Genomic DNA, 20,800 nt, shown 5'->3' on the forward strand with positions numbered 1-20,800 from the left:
CTTTTGTGAAGTGTGTCCAGAAATTTACTCATTTTAAAAATCGGGTTGTTGGTTGTCTTCTTTTTTTTTTTTTTTTTTTTGAGACAGAGTCTCACTCTTGTTGTCCAGCCTGGAGTGCAGTGATGCAATCTCAGCTCTCTGCTACCTCTGCCTCCTGGGTTCAAGCGATTCTCCTACCTCAGCCCCGCAAGTAGCTGGGATTACAGGTGCGTGCCACCGTGCCCAGCTATTTTTTTATTTTTGTATTTTTAGTAGAGACGGGGTTTTGCCATGTTGGTCAGACTGGTCTCGAACTCCTGACGTCAGGTGATCTGCCCGCCTCGGCCCCCCAAAGCGCTGGGATTACGGGCATGAGCCACTGCGCCCAGCCTGGGTTGTTGGTCTTCTAACTGTTGAGGTATGAGTTCTTTTGATATTTTAAATACAACTTATTTGTCAGATACAAATTACAAATATTTTCTCCCATTCTGTGGCTTGTCTTTTTGTTTACCTGACCAGTCTTAATGTCATCAATGTCGTTATTATAGATTATTTTACCCAAGTAAGAAGAACTTGTCTTTTTGAAATAAAATGTGAGTGGATAATGAAATCACAGCAAAATATGAACTTGTACATTCACTTTTGGAAAGTTCAGCTGATTTGGGGATTAGCAAGCAGGAGTGGAGTTTTTAACAATTAATTAAGGCATGTTTTATTAACTCAGAACTAGATAATCAGATAGCCATGTCAGTAAAATATATCAGTATGTAAATCTCACTTATAGTTGCCAAGCAATAGAGATATCTGTCTTTCCTTACCAGTCCCCAAAGCTGTCTTCTAAACCAGACTTTCTTCTTATACCTACCTTTTCCTTATCCTTCTGATTTAAAAAGCTAGAACAGCATTGCACATACTAAGAAAAAAGACTTGTTCTAAATATTGAAACTTGAAGTTACAAGGACATAGTGACCTGATTTCCATTGTATCATGAGGATTAAAGAAGTTTTTGGAGCCTAAGATTCTTGGTCTAGGACAGGTGTTAGTAAACCACCGCCTGTGGGCTAAGTCCAGCTCTATACCTACCTGTTTTTGTAAATAAATAAAATTTGTGTTTATGTTCTGTATTGTCTTATGCCTGCTTTCATGTTACAGTTGTAGACTTGAATTGTTGCAACAGAGGTTATCTGGCCCATGAAGCCTAAAGTATGTATTATCTGGCCCTTCACAGGAAAAGTTTTCTGACCTTTTTATTTCTCCCCTAATCTAGGGAGAAACAAGTCCATTAACCCAGGGGTCCCCAACTCCCAGGCCATGGACTGGCATGGATCTGCGGCCTGTTAGGAACAGGGCTGCACAGCAGGAGGTGAGCAGGGTGTGCGGAGCGAGCATTTCTGCCTGAGCTCCGCTTCCTGTCAGGTCAGTGGCAGCATTCAGTTTTCATAGGAGCATGAACCCTATTGTAAACTGCACATGCAAGGGATCTAGGTTGCCCACTCCTTATGAGAATCCAATGCCTGATGATCTGAGGTGGAACAGTTTCATCCTGAAACCGTCCTCCAATCCCCTGGATCCATAGGAAAGTTATCTTCCATGAAACTGGTCCCTTATGCCAGAAAGGTTGGGGGCCAGAAAGGTTGGGGACCGTTGCATTAACCAGTAAGCAGCAATATAGTGAGTAATTTCTGTGTGGGTAAAAACTGAGTCACCACTTATGATTATAAGGGGGGTGCTATCCAAGAAATTAGAATTGATCTTAAAGGCCTTCTCTTTAAAAGTATAATATATTCATTGAGATTGCATTATGAACACAGTGCTATCTCCATCAGATTATTTCTTGAATAACATTTCTATTATTGAGTACTTCAGTCATATAGAATGTATATGTTCCCCCAAATGTCTTTTAAAAACTCACTTTATACATTTACTGCCCATATATCTCTCTTTGTTTTTATAGCCCCTCTCTGCCCTATGAGTAATACTTAAAAAAAGAGAAGTCAGTGTAGACAGTGCATCAGGCTTGGAGGACACAGAATGAAGGGAAGGTTGGGGGAGGTAGGTGGTTAAAGAAGAAAATTATCCAAGAAATTTAAGAGACCTCTTTTGTTGTTGGTACTTGGAAGATTAGAAAAACACTATGGATGATTTGTTGTTCTAGTAACCACCTCCTTCCAAGATACATATAGGTAACTTTAGAAAAATGAGTGATGTCAAGAATGCAACAGGCTGGGCGTGGTGGCTAACACCTGTAATTCCAGCACGTTGGGAGGCTGAGGCAGGAGGTATCACTTAGGCCCAGGAATTCGAGACCAGCCTGGGCAGCATAGCAAGACCCCCATCTCTACAAAAAAGTTTTAAAAAGTAAGCCAGGCACTGTGGCGTGTGCCTGCAGCCCCAGCTACTCAGGAAGCTGAGGTGGGAGGATCACTGGAACCTAGGAGTTTGAGATTGCAGTGAGCTATGATTGTGCCATTGCACTCCAGCCTGGGTGACAGAGTGAGTCTCTGTCTAAAAAAAAAAAAGGGGGGGTGGGGAATGCAATTGGAGTTTCTTAGGTGAGTACTGTTCTTAAAATTCTTGATGTACTCAACTTCGTTTTGTATGGTGAGGATTTTTACTGATAGGGTAAGTTAGAGAATCCCATTCATTTCCCATGTCTTTTATCAGTGTCTTGTGAATGTTTATCAGAATTTGCCTGCTGCACCATTCATGGCTCTAGGCAAATGCTTCAAGTATCCTTGGTGTTAAGTGAGTATCCAGTTTTACTCATCTTCCTGTTGCTCATCACTTATTCATTGACCTATAGTTGTTACTTTGAAATATTACTTCAAAAGAATGGTTGTGTGTAATTAACAAATTTTATGAACAATAACAGTCACTATTGAGTATTCAATAAGACTGCTAAGAAATACTAGGTATCTTAACTTTTTTTTTTTTTTTTTTTGAGACAGGGTCTCACTCTCTTGCCCAGGCTGGAGGGCGGTGGCATGAACACAGTTCGCTGCAGCCGCAACCTCCTAGGCTTAAGTGATCCTCCTACCTCAACCTCCCAAGTAGCTAGGCCCATGGGCACATGCCACCACACCCAGCTAGTACGTGTGTGTGTCTGTGTGTGTGTGTGTGTGTGTGTGTGTGTGTGTGTGTGTGTGTGTGTGTGTGTGTGTGTGTGTGTGTAGAGATGAGGTCTCACTATGTTGCCTGGGCTTGTCTTGAACTCCTGGGCTCAAGCAGTCCTCCCACTTTGCCTCCCAAAATGCTGAGATTTACTGGCATGAGCTACTGCGCCTGGCATATCAGCTTTTTGTGTATGTGTCTTTAGAGATGCAGTCCCTTGGCCAGTATAATTTTTACAAGTCTGAAATTCCAGTTTCTAATCGTGTTTATTTTGTTAGAAACTGATTTTTTTTTCTCCTTAAGTCATGACAGAGGCATTCTATCAGGTATAATTAATTGGTCACAGTTGAATCATGATGAGATGGCTTAGTTTATAATCCAAATTCATGTGAGAAGGACATATTTCTTTGCTCTGCTTTCTACTCTGTTTATTAGAAAAAATTAGTATTGAAGTATTTTTCTTAAGGCAGAATAATATTAAAATAGGGGTATTGTAACGGCATATTTTACTTCAGATCTAAAGTTTAAATATGATGGTTTTAATCTCAAAAGAAATAGTAAAATTGCTGTGTATGCCAAGAAAACTTGTACAAACGTAATCTTCATAAACCAATAGTAATATATATTTATTTCTGGTTGGTTATTTTTTAAGCTGCCTTCAGTAGGATACATTAGCACATTAAATTACATTTAGTAATTTCTTTTTCTGGTGTGTTTATCTTCAGAGTAAAATTTGGTACTTCTAAAGTACATAGACTTGTTCTTTTGGAGTGAAGTTGGGACTACACCATGAGGCCTTATTACAGTGTTAGTTTGTTCTGACAAATGCCATGCGTATTTTTAAGAACCTAAACATGCTTCTGAAGCTTAATAGACAAAAGCCTCTTAAGGAAAAAAAGAAAAGCACTGTTGAAGTCATGTACTTCTGTTAAAATCATAGCCTCTCTTTTAGACATATTTATGCTTCTGCTTACATTTTTAGATTTTATTACTTGTTAGTAATTTGGATAGAATCATTCAGAGTTGTAAATTCAGGTAGTAATAGAACTACTCAATTTTTCCAACTGTCTGTTTAGAAAAGCTTTTTTTTTTGCATTCTTTATGTTTATTTATTTAAAATGCAACTATTTCTATGTAAATTTAATATTAGATATTTATACATAAAAGACAACATGGTAGTATAATGACATCATATTCTTTTACTGTTTCATTTGAAAATTACAAAGATAATATCTTTAGTTGATTTTGTCACAGATACATATTATTTTTAATATACCAAGAACAGAACTTATATATTAATAAAAATCCTTTGGAAAGCTTGAATGCTGAGAAATACTGCAACAATTTAAGTTCTATTGAATACAGAATTAACTTATTTCTAAAATATGTATAAATTATGTTATGACAATACATTTATGCATTCTGTTCTTACTGAGTTTCATATGCAGTAACCAAGCCCTCTTTGCTCTTTGTTAATCCATGATTTAGTCATTTAATGTAGTTAACAATAATTCTGCATTTATGTAATCCATGATTTTGAGCAGATATTTCTTTTTTCTCTTAATCTAAGTTTAATTATGATAGCAGCACTAATCATTGATTATCCAATAAATGAATACAGAACAGAGCATTAAAAACTGCAATTAAAATTTTTTTAATTTTAAGTGAGCCGGTATTTTTTATTTTTTTTTCGGTAGCAACTTCTGTAATTCACCCTACCACTTTAAAAAAACTTTCAGTGATACATCTATGAAGTAGCCAAGTTGACGGCTTGTATCATTTCATTTTAGCTCATTAATCCAGTTTCTATTAGAGGTGCTAAGGATGAATGACTTATGACTAAAAGATGGGGGTGGGGAGTGTCTTAAATAATTTACATGCTGAATAACCTTGAAAAAAGACAGCAAATGACCTGAGCATTTCACAGAAAACCTTTTTTTCCCTAACTTAGGAGTATATTATTCGACAAAAAAAAATGTGGCTACAGAAAACAGCATAACTTTTATGATCCATAGAATGTACTTAAATAATTCAAATTGTTGTTTTTTTCCTGGTTCTAGTCGTTTTAAAGAATGAAGTAATGCTTGAGATGTTCTGTAAACTCTTAGTCATATTAGTACATTATGGAGTCCTTTTATTAGCATTTTTTCAAGTATTTCACTTAAATAAAAAGCCCTTATTGCACACTCTGCATTGTAGGCATGGGAAAATCTGACTTTTAGCCTTACCATCAAGTCAACATTGACCTTTAAGATTCCTGTTTTGGCCGGGCGCAGTGGCTCACGCCTGTAATCCTAGTACTTTGGGAGGCTGAGGCAGGTGGATCATGAGGTCAGGAGATCAAGACCATCCTGGCTAACACGGTGAAAACCTGTCTCTACTAAAAATACGAAAAATTAGCCGGGCGTGGTGGCGGGCGCCTGTAGTCCCAGCTACTCGGGAGGCTGAGGCAGGAGAATGGTGTGAACCCGGGAGGCAGAGCTTGCAGTGAGCCGAGATTGCGCCACTGCACTCCAGCCTGGGTGACAGAGCGAGACTCTGTCTCAAAAAAAAAAAAAAAAAAAAAAAAAAAGGGATTCCTGTTTTTAACCTCTTTAATTCCAGCTAATAAAAACCTCATAAATGCTCAAAAAGCAACCTGGACTAGACCAAATGGTTGCAGAGTTGTATACCTCATTTCATTGCCTTCGTGGAAATTTATATTAATTAATTTATGCTCCCTTTTCATCACCGATATGGCTACCATAGATCCTCAAAGGGGAAGAATACATCTCAGGCAGTATGTAGAGTTTTAAAATTTCATTATTAGAAATCATTTTATATTATAAAGTTCATCTTAAGAGAATTAAAAAAATCTGTATTCATTTGCAACATTTGCAACCAATATGATTTCTAAACCTTTTATCAGTTTCATAGTGATATTTGGCTGTAGCAATTGCTGTTTCTAAATTTTTCATAGCGCTCTTGTGGTAGAAACATACAACAAATAATGTTCATTAAATAATATAATTTAATTATCACCAACAATACTAGCTCTTTCCATTCACTGACCTTTCTTAGATACACTTGGACACTTTTCTTAAGAAACACAGCTCAGAATGCAGTCACATGATTTTGTGGGCTTGTAGTTTGAGCTATTCCAAATTTAAGAAGCTTTGCAAATGGGTACTCACCCCCTGCAAGTAGTTGTCAGGTGATTTTTAAACATTAAATTCATTCATATGATCACCTGAATAGAGAATGTGCCGTGGGAAAAAGAAAAAAGAGATTGGTATTGCAAAGCTGACTTAAGTCCCTTCCTTTTAATACCTGATTATGTATGTTGATGTTTTACCCTACTGTCCAACGTTCCTTTTCAACTCACATCTTGCTGAATTACATGCAGATCATTGTTTTAAAAAAATTTTTTTTAAAGGTTATGGTGTATTTTCTTAAGATGTAGAAACTTACGAAATTTAGTATATCATGAAGGAAAAATTCTGAGTATTCTAATGGCTTTTTAAAATAATCATTTATTTGCTAGGTAAGTTCTCTTCTACGCTGTATGAGACTGGTGGCTGTGATATGTCACTTGTGAATTTTGAACCAGCAGCAAGAAGAGCATCCAATATCTGGTATGTGTGAAGTCATATTAGGAGTGTGTGTACTTTCATATGTTTGCCATATTTAATGTTTTTAAGCCTAGAACTATAAAAGTTAATTTTTTTGTTTTTTATAATTTAATGTTGTTAATTGACAAATAAAAATCATAAATATTTATGGCATACAACCTGATGTTTTGAAATATCATATACATTGGCTTAATTGAGCTAAAATTAACATGTATTATCTCACATACTTATAATCTTGTTTGCGGTGAGGACACTTAAATCTACTCTCTTAGTGATTTTCAAGTATACAGTATGTTGTTAATTGTAGTCACCAGGTCAGATATAAAAGTTATTTTGAAAACATCTTTATATTTACTCTAATAATTTGTCATAGTGCATTTGTTTCTAAAAACTTAAGGTAGAATTTTTTTTGCTATGGAAAAAAGAAAGTATTGTTTTTAAAACAAAAGCTATTCTGTGTTTTAAAAACTAAATCAAGATATCCCGAAGATCTTACAGTGGCACAGTGTTTTCCCACAGTGTCAAATTTAATTGTATTTCATTTTCTCTATATATTGTATAATGTATAAAAGCTAATCAGGACTTACTCTTCATGTAAGTTCTTACATAACTAAGTTCAAACCTATTGGTTCTCTTTCTTTATGTAATTTTAAAATTTTATTTCCTTCTAAGTGTTTGGTCAAGTACCTTTTTAAATAATCAACTTTCATTTTGTTTAAAATTTCTTTTACTGGCTTTAAGGAAGTATTTCTTAAAATATGTCTCATACGTTACCTTTAGCTTCTTTTATCCCCCCATCTGAAGGAATTTGTAAGATAATGAAGTCAGGAGAAGAGCAAATAAATTAGAAATCTTGATCATATAACATCAATTATATTTTTAGAAGGTGTTAACATTTTTGTTTTCTAAAATTTTGATCTTATTGCTTATTTATTCAAATTGCACTTTGAAGCCTATTCTTGATTAATTAGTTTTCTTTCCCCTCAAGAGTTACTGATTCTTATTTTAGGACTTCTGTTTAATGATGGATCACATCTGTTTAAATGTTAGACATCTGTGGGCTGTTTACTTATTTTTTTGTTTTGAGGGACCATTTAAAGCAATAAAATCTTGCAGTCATTTAGCTCCACATGCTGAAAAAGTAGAACATATAGATAACCATGCTCTTTAAGCTCCTTTGGTCTAGTTTCAGAATTCACCCTCTCAAAAAATTATTAAATTGTACTGTTACCCTGATTCTGTAACAATGGAAACAGTAGGAGGAGGGAGGGATAGAAATGCTGTTACCATGTTTAATGTAGTTCAAGAGAACAATTCCTTACACTATAAATGTGGTAAAGCCTCAAGTTTTGAAATCCAAACATGACTGAACTGTGGAAACTGACTTATGTTGTAGGTTATTACATTATAGCTTAAGTTTATTGTGTCTTTACTGATTCCTGGCAATATGTTTATTGCTTTCTTTGCATTATCTGATTTAAACACTTTCACAAGAACCTTGTGATACAGATACTATTGTCATATGTTACTGAAGAGGAAACGCAAGTATGAAGAGGGTAGGTAACTTGTCCAAGATCTCATTCAGTGGAAGAGATTTGAATGTAGTCACTGACCCAGAGTCTATGTGCTTATCACAACTCTAGGAAAATGCTATTTTGCATTTTGAAGTTAACATGGAAAAGTGAAGATATGTGAATCTCATCTGAATGTTAAAGGATATATTTTTCTTTCTGCTTGACAAACTGTTCCCTATTTTTTATTTTATTTTAGTGACACAGATTCTCATGTATCCAGTTCTACCTCAGTTCGATTTTATCCACATGATGTGGTAGGTTTTTCTTTATTTTTACAACATGATAAATTTTCAGATTAAATCTGAAATATGTATTTACATAGATAGCTATAAAAGCCATAAAAATTGATGAAGTTACACAAAAATTTTTTGAAAACTATGGCAAAATCACTTTGCTGCCCTCCAGTGGCTCTCTTTTTCTAAGTCCTTTGATAAGAAACAAAAGTACAAGGTTAAGAAACCCTGGCATAGAGTATTTTAAAAAGTGTTTTGGAAAGTATTTGTCAATGCTTAGAGATAGAAATGGCTGTGTTATATATAGGAAGTAAATTTTCTCAACTATACCCAGATATGTGTTTGAAAAGTAAAACCCTCCCTACTTTTTGGCTATAGTGTATTCCTGGAAACTGCATAGGAAAGCAAACATGGGAAGATGATTGTTTTATTGTTTTCTACTTTTAAATGGTATGGGAACCTTGAGATAGCAAAATGCTGCCTAGTACTATGCCAAATACAGTCAACTTTTGATGCTTTCTGAGGAAAAGAAAACTGGTAAACTGATGGATGGATGAGTTGAAGTTAAATATAGTATAGTAATTTGTATAGCCTCAGGTGAGCAGCTTGCCAAAACAAACAAACAAACAAACAAACAGGGGTGAGGGATTTGGAAATATAGTAACAACAATGATAAGAGACTGTGGGAAGAAATGAGAGTTGCTGCCATCAGATCCAATGCAGTGGGGCTCAGATTTAACACTGATAATGAGGTTCAAAGCTTAAGGAGAAAAGACTATAAATGTGAGAAGAGAAGCCACTAACGATTCACAGTAAGTGGTTTTAGTAGATTCGCTAGCTATACAGTTATAAAATCTTAAGGTTTTTTCTTAAGCATTCCCTGAGAAAAATCTTAAGATTTTAGACACTTTTCTAGTCAATTATTTACAATAGGTTTATTGATTAATTAACTTTGTTTTAGTTCACTTCCTATTGTCACCTTCTATAGTTTCTGGTAATCATAACATATTCATAAAGAGTAGGCTGGGCGCAGTGGCTCCTGCCTGTAATCCCAGCACTTTGAGAGGCCGAGGCGGGTGGATCACGAGGTCAAGAGTTCAAGACCAGCCTGGCCAAGATGGTAAAATCCCGTCTCTACAAAAAATAGAAAAAGAATTAGCCGGGCATGGTGGCAGGTGCCTGTAATCCCAGCTGCTTGGGAGGCTGAGGCAGAGAATTGCTTGAACCGGGGAGGCAGAGGTTGCAGTGAGCCGAGATTGCACCACTGTACTTCAGACAAGACTCTGTCTCAAAAAAAAAAAAAAAAAAAAGTGTATGAGAGAAGAAAATTAAAGGGCTTAGATAACTGATAAGCTAATTGAGTAACTGTTGAATTATGAAGATATTTTATTTTGAATAAACATATTAAATAAATATTGAAGATATTTTAAGCCTTTCAATGCTGACTTTCTTTTAGCTCTCTCTCCCACAGATTCGATTGAATAGACTATTGACCATTGATACAGATTTGTTGGAGCAACAGGACATTGATCTAAGCCCTGACTTGGCAGCTACTTACGGCCCAACAGAAGAAGCTGCCCAAAAGGTTAAACACTATTATCGCTTTTGGATCCTACCCCAGCTGTGGATTGGCATTAACTTTGACAGACTCACACTTTTGGCCCTGTTTGATAGGTGAGATTATAGTGTGATATTAATGATACGTGTGGATTTTATTTTTAAGATGAAGTGTCTTTAATTACCCACTGAGGTTTTTACCTGGTTATCATGTTGGGAAATGTTTTCTGGTTTTGTCCTCTGGATATAAAACTTAAGGTAATGGGTTTCTAAACAGTGACTATCTTAAATCCATTAAAAATGTTTTGGTTGCAACTTCAATATCTTTTACAAAGAAATTAGTTTTGTTAATCAGTGAGACTCATACAACTGCTAGTCAAAAGCCAAAGAATATGAGTTTTGATGATCTTTAAGTTATAGGTAATATGATGCAAAGTTCTATATAACAGTTATAAGAGGAAACTTCTGTTTCCCTGGTTCTTAACACTACTCTCTTAATGGCAAACACAAACTTGGTGACCAACAGCTGTTTCCAGTCAACATGGAGTAACAGGATTGGATTTATCATCTCATGTGAAACAACCAAAAATAGACAAAGTACGTGAAACAGTGGTTTTCAAGACATTGGAGATGAGGAAAAAAGGACAGTGATTCCTGAGAGATGACAACAAATAACATGAGCCCTCCAATTGCCCCAGCTTAATGCTTTGAGAGAGTTTCTAGGCTGCAAGACAGGGAGGGAGAACTGAAGTAGAGTCCAGCCAACTTCCTGAGTTAAGGAGATAGAACTGAGAGTCCAGGGAGGCTATGGCAGTTAGAGTCCACAGGACAGACTGTTAGAGAGGAGAGAGCTGCTTAGAGAGAGAACCTTAGAGATCTGCATTGAGTCACCTTGACTGTTTGGCAGAGTATGGATATGTTCCTGTATGTGAGGAAACTATTTGAGGCCAGGGAAAGAACCATGTGAAAAGGAACAGAGGAACAGTTCCTGGCAATCACACAGCACTGGGAATAGTACATGTCCCTACCAGCCAGATTGGAGACATTTATGGTTCATATTTTATGGTGCCTTGTGTAGAATACTCAGGAAGATATTTAAAAGTGGGGAATAATTACCCCTAGCAGGAGCACTACTTCACACCCACCTAACAAGTAATAAAACCAAGACCTGAAGGGATCAAACTGTTTCCAAGTAACATAAAGTCTAAGAAGATTTATGGAAATCCAGAAATACCCAGCACCCAACAAGTTAAGATTCACAATGTCTAGCATTCAGTCAAAGATGACCAAGTGTGCAAAGAAGTGAGAAAACGACCTCTAACAAGAATAATCAGTTGAGACCAAACTGTAGCTTAAATAGATACTAGAATTAGCAGACAAGGACATTAAAACAGTTATAACTGCTTTCCCTATGTTTAAAAAGTTAACTACGGACATAGAAGATACTTTTAAAAGTCCCAAATCAAACTTAGAGAGTTGAAAACTATAATCCCTGAGACGAAAAATATACTGGATGGGATTAATGGTAGATTGCACCTTGTAGAAGAAAAGATTATTGAACTCACTCGAAGGCATAATAATGGAAACTATCCAGAATGAAACAGAAGAGTCCACTGTCCCCAGTGAAAAGAATATAAAAACAAAATGAGAGAAAGCTGTGGGACAACTACAAGAGGAAACAAGGAGACAAAAGATTTTGAAGAAATAAGGAGACAAAAGATTTTGAAGAAATAAGAGTGGAGAACTTTCCAAATTTGATGAAAACTGTGAATATACATTCAGGAAGCCCAGTGAACCTCAAGCATAAAATGCTTGAATAAAACTACACCAAGGGACACAACTGCTCAAAACCAGTGATAAAATTGTTAAAATTGCAAAAGAAAAAAAGAGGAGCAAGGATAAGGAAGACATCCTTTTTATTGTTGGAAATAACGAAGTGAAAAGACAGTAGAGGAGCATCTTTAAAGTACTGAAAAGAAAAAAACCCTGTCAACCTACAATTCTATACATAGCAAAAATACCTTTTAAAAACCAAAGTGAAATAAAGACATCTTCAGATCAGAAAAAAATGGGAAGAATTCTTATGAGCAGACCCACACTACAAAAAATGTTGGAGGATGTCTTTCAGGCAGAAGGAAAGTGATCTCAGATGGAAATATAAGTCTACCCAAAGGAACAAAGATAAATGGAAATGGTAAGTCACTATATGGATAAATGTAAAATATTTTTTCTTATTAATTAAATCTCTTTAAGAGGTAACTGTTTAAATGAAAATAACAGTGCTTCGTGTGGTTTATAACATGTAAAAGTAAAATTTATGATAATAGCATAAAGGCAGAGGGGACAAATAAAAGCATACTATTGTAAGTTTCTTATATGTAAAGTGATATATCATCACTTTGAAGGTAGACTGTCATAAATGTGTATTGTAAACCCTAGGCTGGACGCCGTGGTAATCCCAGCACTTTGGGAGGCAGAGGCAGGAGGATCACTTGAGCCTAGGAGTTTGAGGCCAGCCTTGGCAACCTAGTGAGACTCTGTCTCTACAAACATATTTTTAAAAATTCTTACCAAAACCTACTGTAAGGCAATCACTAAAATAACAAAAGAGTTGTAGCTAATATGTCAAAAAGGAGATAAGATGGATTATAAAAATTACTGTTAATCAATAAGGTGGAAAAAGATCAAAGAATAGATGAGACAAATAGGAAACACATGACAAGATGATAGAGTCAGAAAAAGTCAGAAATTGGCAGATTAGATAAAAAAGAACAACACTCAACTCCAAGCTGCCTACAAGGAAGGTACTTTAAATATAAAAACAGAAGACAGTGTGGTGGCTCATGCCTGTGATCTCAGCACTTTGGGAGTCTGAGGTGGGAGGATCTCTTGAGGCCCAATTTTCGAAAGCAGCCTGGGCAACGTAGACCCAGTTTCTACCAAAATAAAATAAAAACAAATAGGTTAAAAGATGGAAAAAGATATACCATGCTAACATTAACAAAAGGCTTATAGTACTGGCTGTATTAAAGTCAGGTAAAGTAGACTTCAGAACAAAGAATATTACCAAGGATAAAGAAGCCCATTTCATAGTGATAAGGAGTCAATTAATCCACAGGATTTAACAGTCCTAAATGTTTGTACACCTGAAACAGAGCTTCAGAATTCATAAAGCAAAAGCTAATAGAAGTGGAGAAATAGACAAATCACAGTTATAGGTGATTTCAGCACTTCTCTTTAAATAATGGATAGGATAATTATTTAGAAAATCAGTGAGGATGTTGTGAACTTGAACAGTATTAGCAACCAACCTAAATTGGTTGCATTTATGGAACACTGCATCCATAACAAGAGAATATACATTTTTCTAAGTGCTCACAGAACATTTACTAAGATAGTTCACATTTTGAGCCATAATACGAGAGTTATTAAATTTTAAAAGGTCCACTATCCAATCATACATAGTGAATTAAATGGTAAATTAATAACAAATAGAACCTTGGAAAATTCCCAAATATTTGGAAACTAAACACTTCTAAATAACCCATGGATTAGAGAAGATGTCAAGAGAGAAATTAGTATTTTGGGCTAAATGAAAGTGAAAACACACCATATCTGAATTTTGGGAATGCCACTAACTTGCAGTACTTAGGAAAATTTATAGCACTAAACACCTAGATTAGAAAAGAAAGGTCTCAAATCAGTGACTTCACCTTCCACTTGCTAGAAGAACAAGAGCACATAAGCCCAAGTAAACAAAAGAAAGGTAGTAGTAAGGAACAAAACAATTCAATGAGGAAACAGAGAAATAATAAAGAAAATCAAGGAAATGAAAAGTTTGAGAACATCAGTTGTATCAATTGATACAAATAGCTAAAGGCTAAACCTTTAGCCAGCCTGATCAGAAAAAAACAAAAGAAGAGGAAAGACGTAGATTACCAACATCAAGAATGTGAGTTATGATATCACTACAGACTCTCCAGGTATTAAAAGCATAATTAGAGAATGATATGAGCAGCTATATGCAAATAAGTTCAACATTGGACAAATGGACAAATTTCTTGAAAGATAAATTATGAAATTTCATTCTGAAAGAACTACATGACCTTAATTGTCTTACATCTATTAAATAAGTGGAAATTGTAGTTTAGAAACTTTCCCACAAAGAAAACTCTAGGCCCAGATGGCATCAAAATAATATTCAGATGAATGAAATGGAGAAAGGATAGCCTTTTCAACAAATGGTGGTGGAACAATTGGATTTCCATATGCAAAAAAATAGAGATGGACGCAGAGGTGTGTGCTTAGGAGGCTGAGGTGAGACGATTGTTTGAGGCCAGCCTGGGCAACATAGCAAGACCCCATTTCAAAAACAAAAATAAAGAACTTGTAGCCTTACCTTGTGCCATATTATGAAAATGTATCATAGGCTTAAATGTGAAACGTAAAACAAAACTTCTAGAAAAAAAAGAAAACAGGAGAAAAGTTTTATGAACTTGGATTAGGCAAAATTACTTAGCTCTGATGCCAAAAACAAGATCATTAAAACAAAATTTGATACATTGGACTCATCAAAATTGAAAATCCTTAAAAATCCAAAGACAAGACATGTTCAATGACAAGGGAGGCACTATTCAGGCAGGCCCAGGATTGAAAAGAGGTCATTGGATTTAGCAAATCTGAAATTGCATAACTACCACCTAAAATCAAATGGAAATGCCAGTAATTTATTGGTTTGGAAATACTATTGAACTTTTTTATCTGGTAGAACTATTAAATGTATTAAGTACAAAGATGTTTATGAATTTTATTTTTAGGCCCAGTTGATTGTGATAAATATGGAATTGGGTTAATATATTTGTTAAGTTTATGATTATAAAAGTAATTCCTTACCTATTGTAGAAAATTTAAATATGTACAAAGTTTTGAAGACAGAGGCAAACCATAATTCTTCCATGGAGAGAAGCATTATTAGTAATATCATTTTTGGTATATTGTCTTTTTTAACCTATATGTTTAATTTTTTAATAGCAGAACTTATATCCTCCTATGCCCATGGTTTTGTGTCCTGCTTTCTGTATGTATGAGATGTACTGAGCATTTTTTCATTTTTAATAGTCTTTAAAAATATGATTTAGAAGTATTTTAGGGAAATACTAAAGGATGTATTTGTATAAGATTTTGTGAATAAAATTTTCCCAAGAAGTAATGAGATAGATTCATGTGTGTGTATGAAATAAAAATAATCTTCATTGATATATATATATGTATATCTTGAGCATCATATTGTTTCTCTTACAATGTCAATTTAATAAATATAGAATTGTCTTAGCAACTTTGATAGAAGCAGAGGTGTTTGTCACTACCTTTAGTTTCAAGATATGTAAGAGCCCATATTTAAGTAATTCTAGTAAGTGAGTTTTCTAATTCTTTCAGATGACTGAGAGATGGGGGAAGCGAAATCAATTAGTGCCAGAATTTTGTTACTATTTTGCCATATAACAAATGTTTTAAATTTAATTTTCTAGAAACTATTTTGAGATTTTGTTTTTTAAACATAATGTGATTCTTTGTATACATATTTTATTTGCCATCCAAGTTGGTTAACTATTTTGCAACAAATAGAATAGAAAAGCAAATATTAAGGAGAGTAACATTTTTAAAATAGAAATTTAAAACTATATTATGTAATTGAAACTCCACAATTCACTGTAGCATGTTTTATTTGTATATAAGAATTCATGTTATGTCCACATGAAACTAGTTTGTTTTCAGTATGATCTAAAACCTTGTTCAAACTCAGTACCAAAAAGACATCTTGGCATACCATGAACTTCATATTTATGTCTTCCCTTCCCTTTTTTCCATTTGGTTAATTTCTTATACTTAAGATATACTTACCCATAAGTTTTTCTGTCCGTAGAAATCGTGAGATCCTGGAAAATGTGTTAGCTGTCATCCTGGCTATTCTCGTGGCCTTTTTGGGATCTATTCTTCTCATACAAGGATTCTTCAGAGATATCTGGGTCTTCCAGTTCTGCCTCGTCATAGCCAGCTGTCAATACTCACTGCTTAAGGTACCAGCATCTCTTCTTTTCATGCTACGGAATTATATTTGTGTTAAAAGGCAGAGGATTTTGTAGCAATTACTGAATTATAGTAAGATAATTATTTTTAGGCTTACTTTTCTTGCATGTTTACATAAGATTGTGTAGAGAGCAAAAGGGGGATATAAACCTTAAAAATAATTGTATGTAAATTAGCACTTCCTAAAAACAAGTTTTTTGTATTAAAAGAAAACTGTGTTTGTTTTGTTTGTTTTATTTTGTTTTTTGGAGATGGAGTATTGCTCTGTTGCCCAGGCTGCAGTGCAATGATGCTATCTGGCTCACTGCAACCGTCGCCTCCCAGGTTCAAGTGATTCTCCTGCCTCAGCCTCCTGAGTAGCTGGGATTACAGGCGCATGCCACCATGGCTGGCTAATTTTCGTATTTTTAGTAGAGACGGGGTTTCACCATGTTGGTCAGGCTGGTCTCAAACTCCTGACCTCGTGATCCGCCTGCCTTGGCTTCCCAAAGTACTGGGATTACAGGCATGAGCCACTGCGCCTGGCCTAAAAGAAAACTGTATTTGTTAAAATAAGAACTTGCATTCTTTTTTTTTTTAATAGTAGTAGTTTTTTTTATTATTATACTTTAAGTTCTGGGATACATGTGCAGAATGTGCAGATTTATTACATAGGTATACACATGCCATGGTGGCATCCCACCCATCCCACCATGCATCCCACCATGCACCCATCAACCCGTCATCTACATTAGGTATTTCTCCTAATGCTATCCCTCCCCTACCCTCCGCCCCCTGACGGACCCCCTCCTTGTGTTCCCCTCCTTGTGTCCATGTGTTCTCATTGTTCAACTCCCACTTATGAGTCAGAACATGCAGTGTTTGGTTTTCTGTTCTTGTGTTAGTTTTCTGAGGATGATGGTTTCCACCTTCATCCATGTCCCCACAAAGGACATGAACTCATCCTTTTTTATGGCTGCATAGTATTCCATGTTGTATATGTGCCACATTTTCTTTATCCAGTCTATCATTGATGGGCATTTGGGTTGGTTCCAAGTCTTTGCTATTGTGAACAGTGCTGCAATAAACATACGTGTGCATGTGTCTTTATAGCAGAATGATTTATAATCCTTTGGGTATATACCCAGTAATGGGATTGCTAGGTCAAATGGTATTTCTGGTTCTGGATCCTTGAGGAATCGCCACACTGTCTTTCATAATGGTTGAACTAGTTTACAGTCCCACCAACAGTGTAAAAGCGTTCCTATTTCTCCACATCCTCTCCAGCATCTGTTGTTTCCTGACTTTAATGATTGCTGTTCTAACTGGCTTGAGATGGTATCTCATTGTGGTTTTGATTTGCATTTCTCTAATGACCATTAATGATGAGCTTTTTTTCATGTTTGTCGGCCACATAAATGTCTTTTGAGAAGTGTCTGTTCATATCCTTCACCCACTTTTGGATGGGGTTGTTTGTTTTTTTCTTGTAAATTTAAGTTCCTTGTAGATTCTGGATGTCAGATGGATAGATTGCAAAAATTTTCTCCCATTCTGTAGGTTGCCTCTTCACTCTGAAAATAGTTTCTTTTGCTGTACAGAAGCTCTTTAGTTTAATTAGATCCCATTTGTCTATTTTGGCTTTTGTTGCCATTGCTTTGGTGTTTTAGTCATGAAGTCTTTGGCCATGCCTATGTCCTGAATGGTATTGCCTAGGTTTTCTTCTAGGGTTTTTATGGTTTTAGGTCTTACATTTAAGTCTTTAATCCATCTTGAGTTAATTTTTGTATAAGGTGTAAGGAAGGGGTCCAGTTTCAGTTTTCTGCATATGGGTAGCCAGTTTTCCCAACACCATTTATTAAATAGGGAATCCTTTCCCCATTGCTTGTTTTTGTCAGGTTTGTCAAAGATCAGGTGGTTGTAGATGTGTGGTGTTATTTCTGAGGCCTCTGTTCTGTTCCATTGGTCTTTATATCTGTTTTGGTACCAGTACCATGCTGTTTTGGTTACTGTAGCCTTGTAGTATAGTTTGAAGTCAGGTAGCGTGATGCCTCCAGCTTTATTTTTTTTGCTTAGGATTGTCTTGGCTATGTGGGCTCTTTTTTGGTTCCATATGAAATTTAAAGTAGTTTTTTCTAATTCTGTAAGAAAGTCAGTGGTAGCTTGCTAGGGGTTGCATTGAGTCTGTGAATTACTTTGGGCAGTATGGCCATTTTCACAATATTGATTCTTCCTATCCATGAGCATGGAATGTTTTTCCATTTGTTTGTGTCTTCTCTTATTTCCTTAGCAGTGGTTTGTAGTTCTCCTTGAAGAGAAGCCCTCCCACAGCTGGAAAACCATTGACATAGTTCTGTTTTTACTAACAGCTGTCCATCCTTTCTTTCTCTTCTCCATTTATAGCTAGACATGTGGAGTAAGCCACCTAGGTCATCTGCTTTATTTCTTTAAGACCCATCCATACTTTCCTCATTGCAGTACTGAAATTATAGTCTTTGTGGTTGCTAATGATCATTCTAATTGCTAAATTGCTTTTCTTAAGTCTCCATGCTTTATGAATGCTACATCATTTAATACCTATGTATACTCTTCCATTTTGATATTCTCCTCATTTTTGATCATGACTTTATACCACCCTCATGTTTCTTTCACTTTTCAGATGACTCTCTTTTCCTTTGTTGATCCCTCTTTGTTCTTTCAACTGCTTAATTTATGAGAATTCTCTAGGACTTATGTGGTTATCTTCTCGGTTTACAGTTCCTTTCCAGTGAAGTCATCCTTTTTTATTGCTTTATTTGTTGCCTTTGTATATGAGTTATTTCCAGATTTATATCTCAAAGTCTTCACCTCTTTTGCAAGCTTTAGTCCTGTGTATCTAACAGACATTTTAAAAATAGCAAATTAATCATCTCCTGGTTAATTTTTCTTTCCCAATATCTTTGCTTTTGGCAGTGATATACCTGCTAAAAATCTTTGAGTCACTGCTCCTTCCTCCTTGATCACTAATAACAAGTAACCCAGTCCCTTTGATGACATTTAATGATTGTATATTAAAATTACTGGTTGTCAGTCTTGCACTATACCTTTAGTGCCCTAAATCATTTAAATTCATTTTGCGGCTCTAGTGTCTCCATGGTCCAATTAATTTTGTCCACTGCTTTCAGGTTAATGTGGTTAAATATGGAAAAGGTAAAAGGTGACAGATTTTTGCAACTAGTTGACTAGAAGAATAATAATGTCATAAACAGGGATAAGAAAGACAAGAACAGAAGCATTTAGAAGATAGGCGCTGTGGTTAAAAGAGTTTAAAGATTATCTGGAGTCAAATCTAGCCAAGGGCCAAATGCCAAACTCAGTGAGCTTGGCCCAGTATCGAATGGTAGGGTGGTGATAGATAATCCTAGTGAAATTGTATGGTATGCCATTGGAAATGAACTGAAACTTGGGAGAAAAGTCATGAGTAGGGAAGTAGCTGCATAATACCTTCTGAACATTTTTATGGGAAGTTAATAAAATCTCTTAAAAGGATACAGCTTAACTTATTTGATTATTTTGATATGAAAATGCAGATAATATCTTTATTACAAATACCATTGAATTATTTAGTAAGCTTGGAATTTATGGGCAGAACTAGAATTGTTGTTATAAGTGAACCCCTATTATTGTATATTTCCTGAATGAATGATGTCCTGTGAGAAATACTATACTTGTATTTAGTATACCTTAACTCCACTTGTATATAGCAATAAGCCAAACAGTAAGATGGCTCTGTCTATCATATGCTATTGCAGAAACTTTAAGATAGATACAAATAAATACATAATAATCTTATTTCCTGACTCTTATCAGGAAAGATTTGATATGTTTTTAATATCACAGTGACACTGGTATCTGGAGCTGATGTTTCATCTCTGGAACAGAATTATTAATATAGGTCATTTTGTGGTTGTGGAATATTTACTTAAAATCATTCATTTCAGGCATTTTGAAAGTTGGTTGTAAAATTAGCAAGACTTCAGGAGTGTAATTTGTCTTTCTGTTTCATTTTTAGAGTGTTCAACCAGATTCTTCTTCTCCCAGACATGTAAGTCACTCTTAATATGGCTGTACATTATAGGTCCTTAACATTTATCATAATATTTGTGGTTTGTTTTTTGTTTTTTTGTTTTGTTTGGAATGCATCAGCCTGAACTAAAATTTATGTTATTATTTTCCTCATCTATGTTTTGACACACTACTAGAAATATAGGTGTTTTGTTAGCTTGAAATAAAATGACATTGTACTTGTGGACTCTAAATCTTGGTTGAAAATGAGCATGATAATTCACTTTTTGATAGTCTGTTTCAGGGAGTAGACATGGTTCTTATAAACTCATGATTATTTGTGTTTAATACATTTTGAATAATAGCTTATGAATAGGTATTGAAAATAGAATTTTGAAGTAGGAAAAACTTTATATTATTTCACTTGAGTAACCATTAGGAGCAAGAATAAAGAAGTAATACCTGAGTCTGGTGTTAAGACCATTGAATAAAAACTTTGTTATTCACTTCGTGACTTTAGACAAAAATATTATCTGCCTAGCACTATTTATTGTGAAATGGGATCCAATTTTAGATGTAAATTGAGGTTTTAATAGAACAGAGGATATTCTATTTAAAGTAGTTCAAA

The 20,800-nt window shown here is 35.2% G+C and overlaps 1 protein-coding gene across 27 annotated transcripts in view; it reads left to right on the forward strand.

Annotated features, from left to right (window-relative positions):
* PCNX1 (pecanex 1) overlaps window positions 1-20,800 on the forward strand; it is a 207,924-nt gene that overhangs the window by 95,562 nt on the left and 91,562 nt on the right. For 18 of the 27 annotated variants that reach the window (XR_245673.5, XR_007063992.1, XM_005267420.5 and 15 more), the window contains 5 exons: window positions 6,614-6,704; window positions 8,472-8,529; window positions 9,965-10,182; window positions 15,989-16,142; window positions 20,180-20,212. Coding sequence is in view for 25 of the 27 variants with exons in the window: in XM_005267420.5 (XP_005267477.1) it covers window positions 6,614-6,704; window positions 8,472-8,529; window positions 9,965-10,182; window positions 15,989-16,142; window positions 20,180-20,212 (554 nt within the window). In the remaining 2 variants the exon portion in view is untranslated. The remainder of the gene's footprint in view (window positions 1-6,613; window positions 6,705-8,471; window positions 8,530-9,964; window positions 10,183-15,988; window positions 16,143-20,179; window positions 20,213-20,800) is intronic. The other 9 variants (XM_005267422.5, XM_005267423.5, XM_047431122.1 and 6 more) reach the window with 2 other exon arrangements.

This window comes from Homo sapiens, chromosome 14 (genome assembly GCF_000001405.40).
Source record: "Homo sapiens chromosome 14, GRCh38.p14 Primary Assembly".
In the NCBI taxonomy this organism is placed as follows: Eukaryota; Metazoa; Chordata; class Mammalia; order Primates; family Hominidae; genus Homo; species Homo sapiens.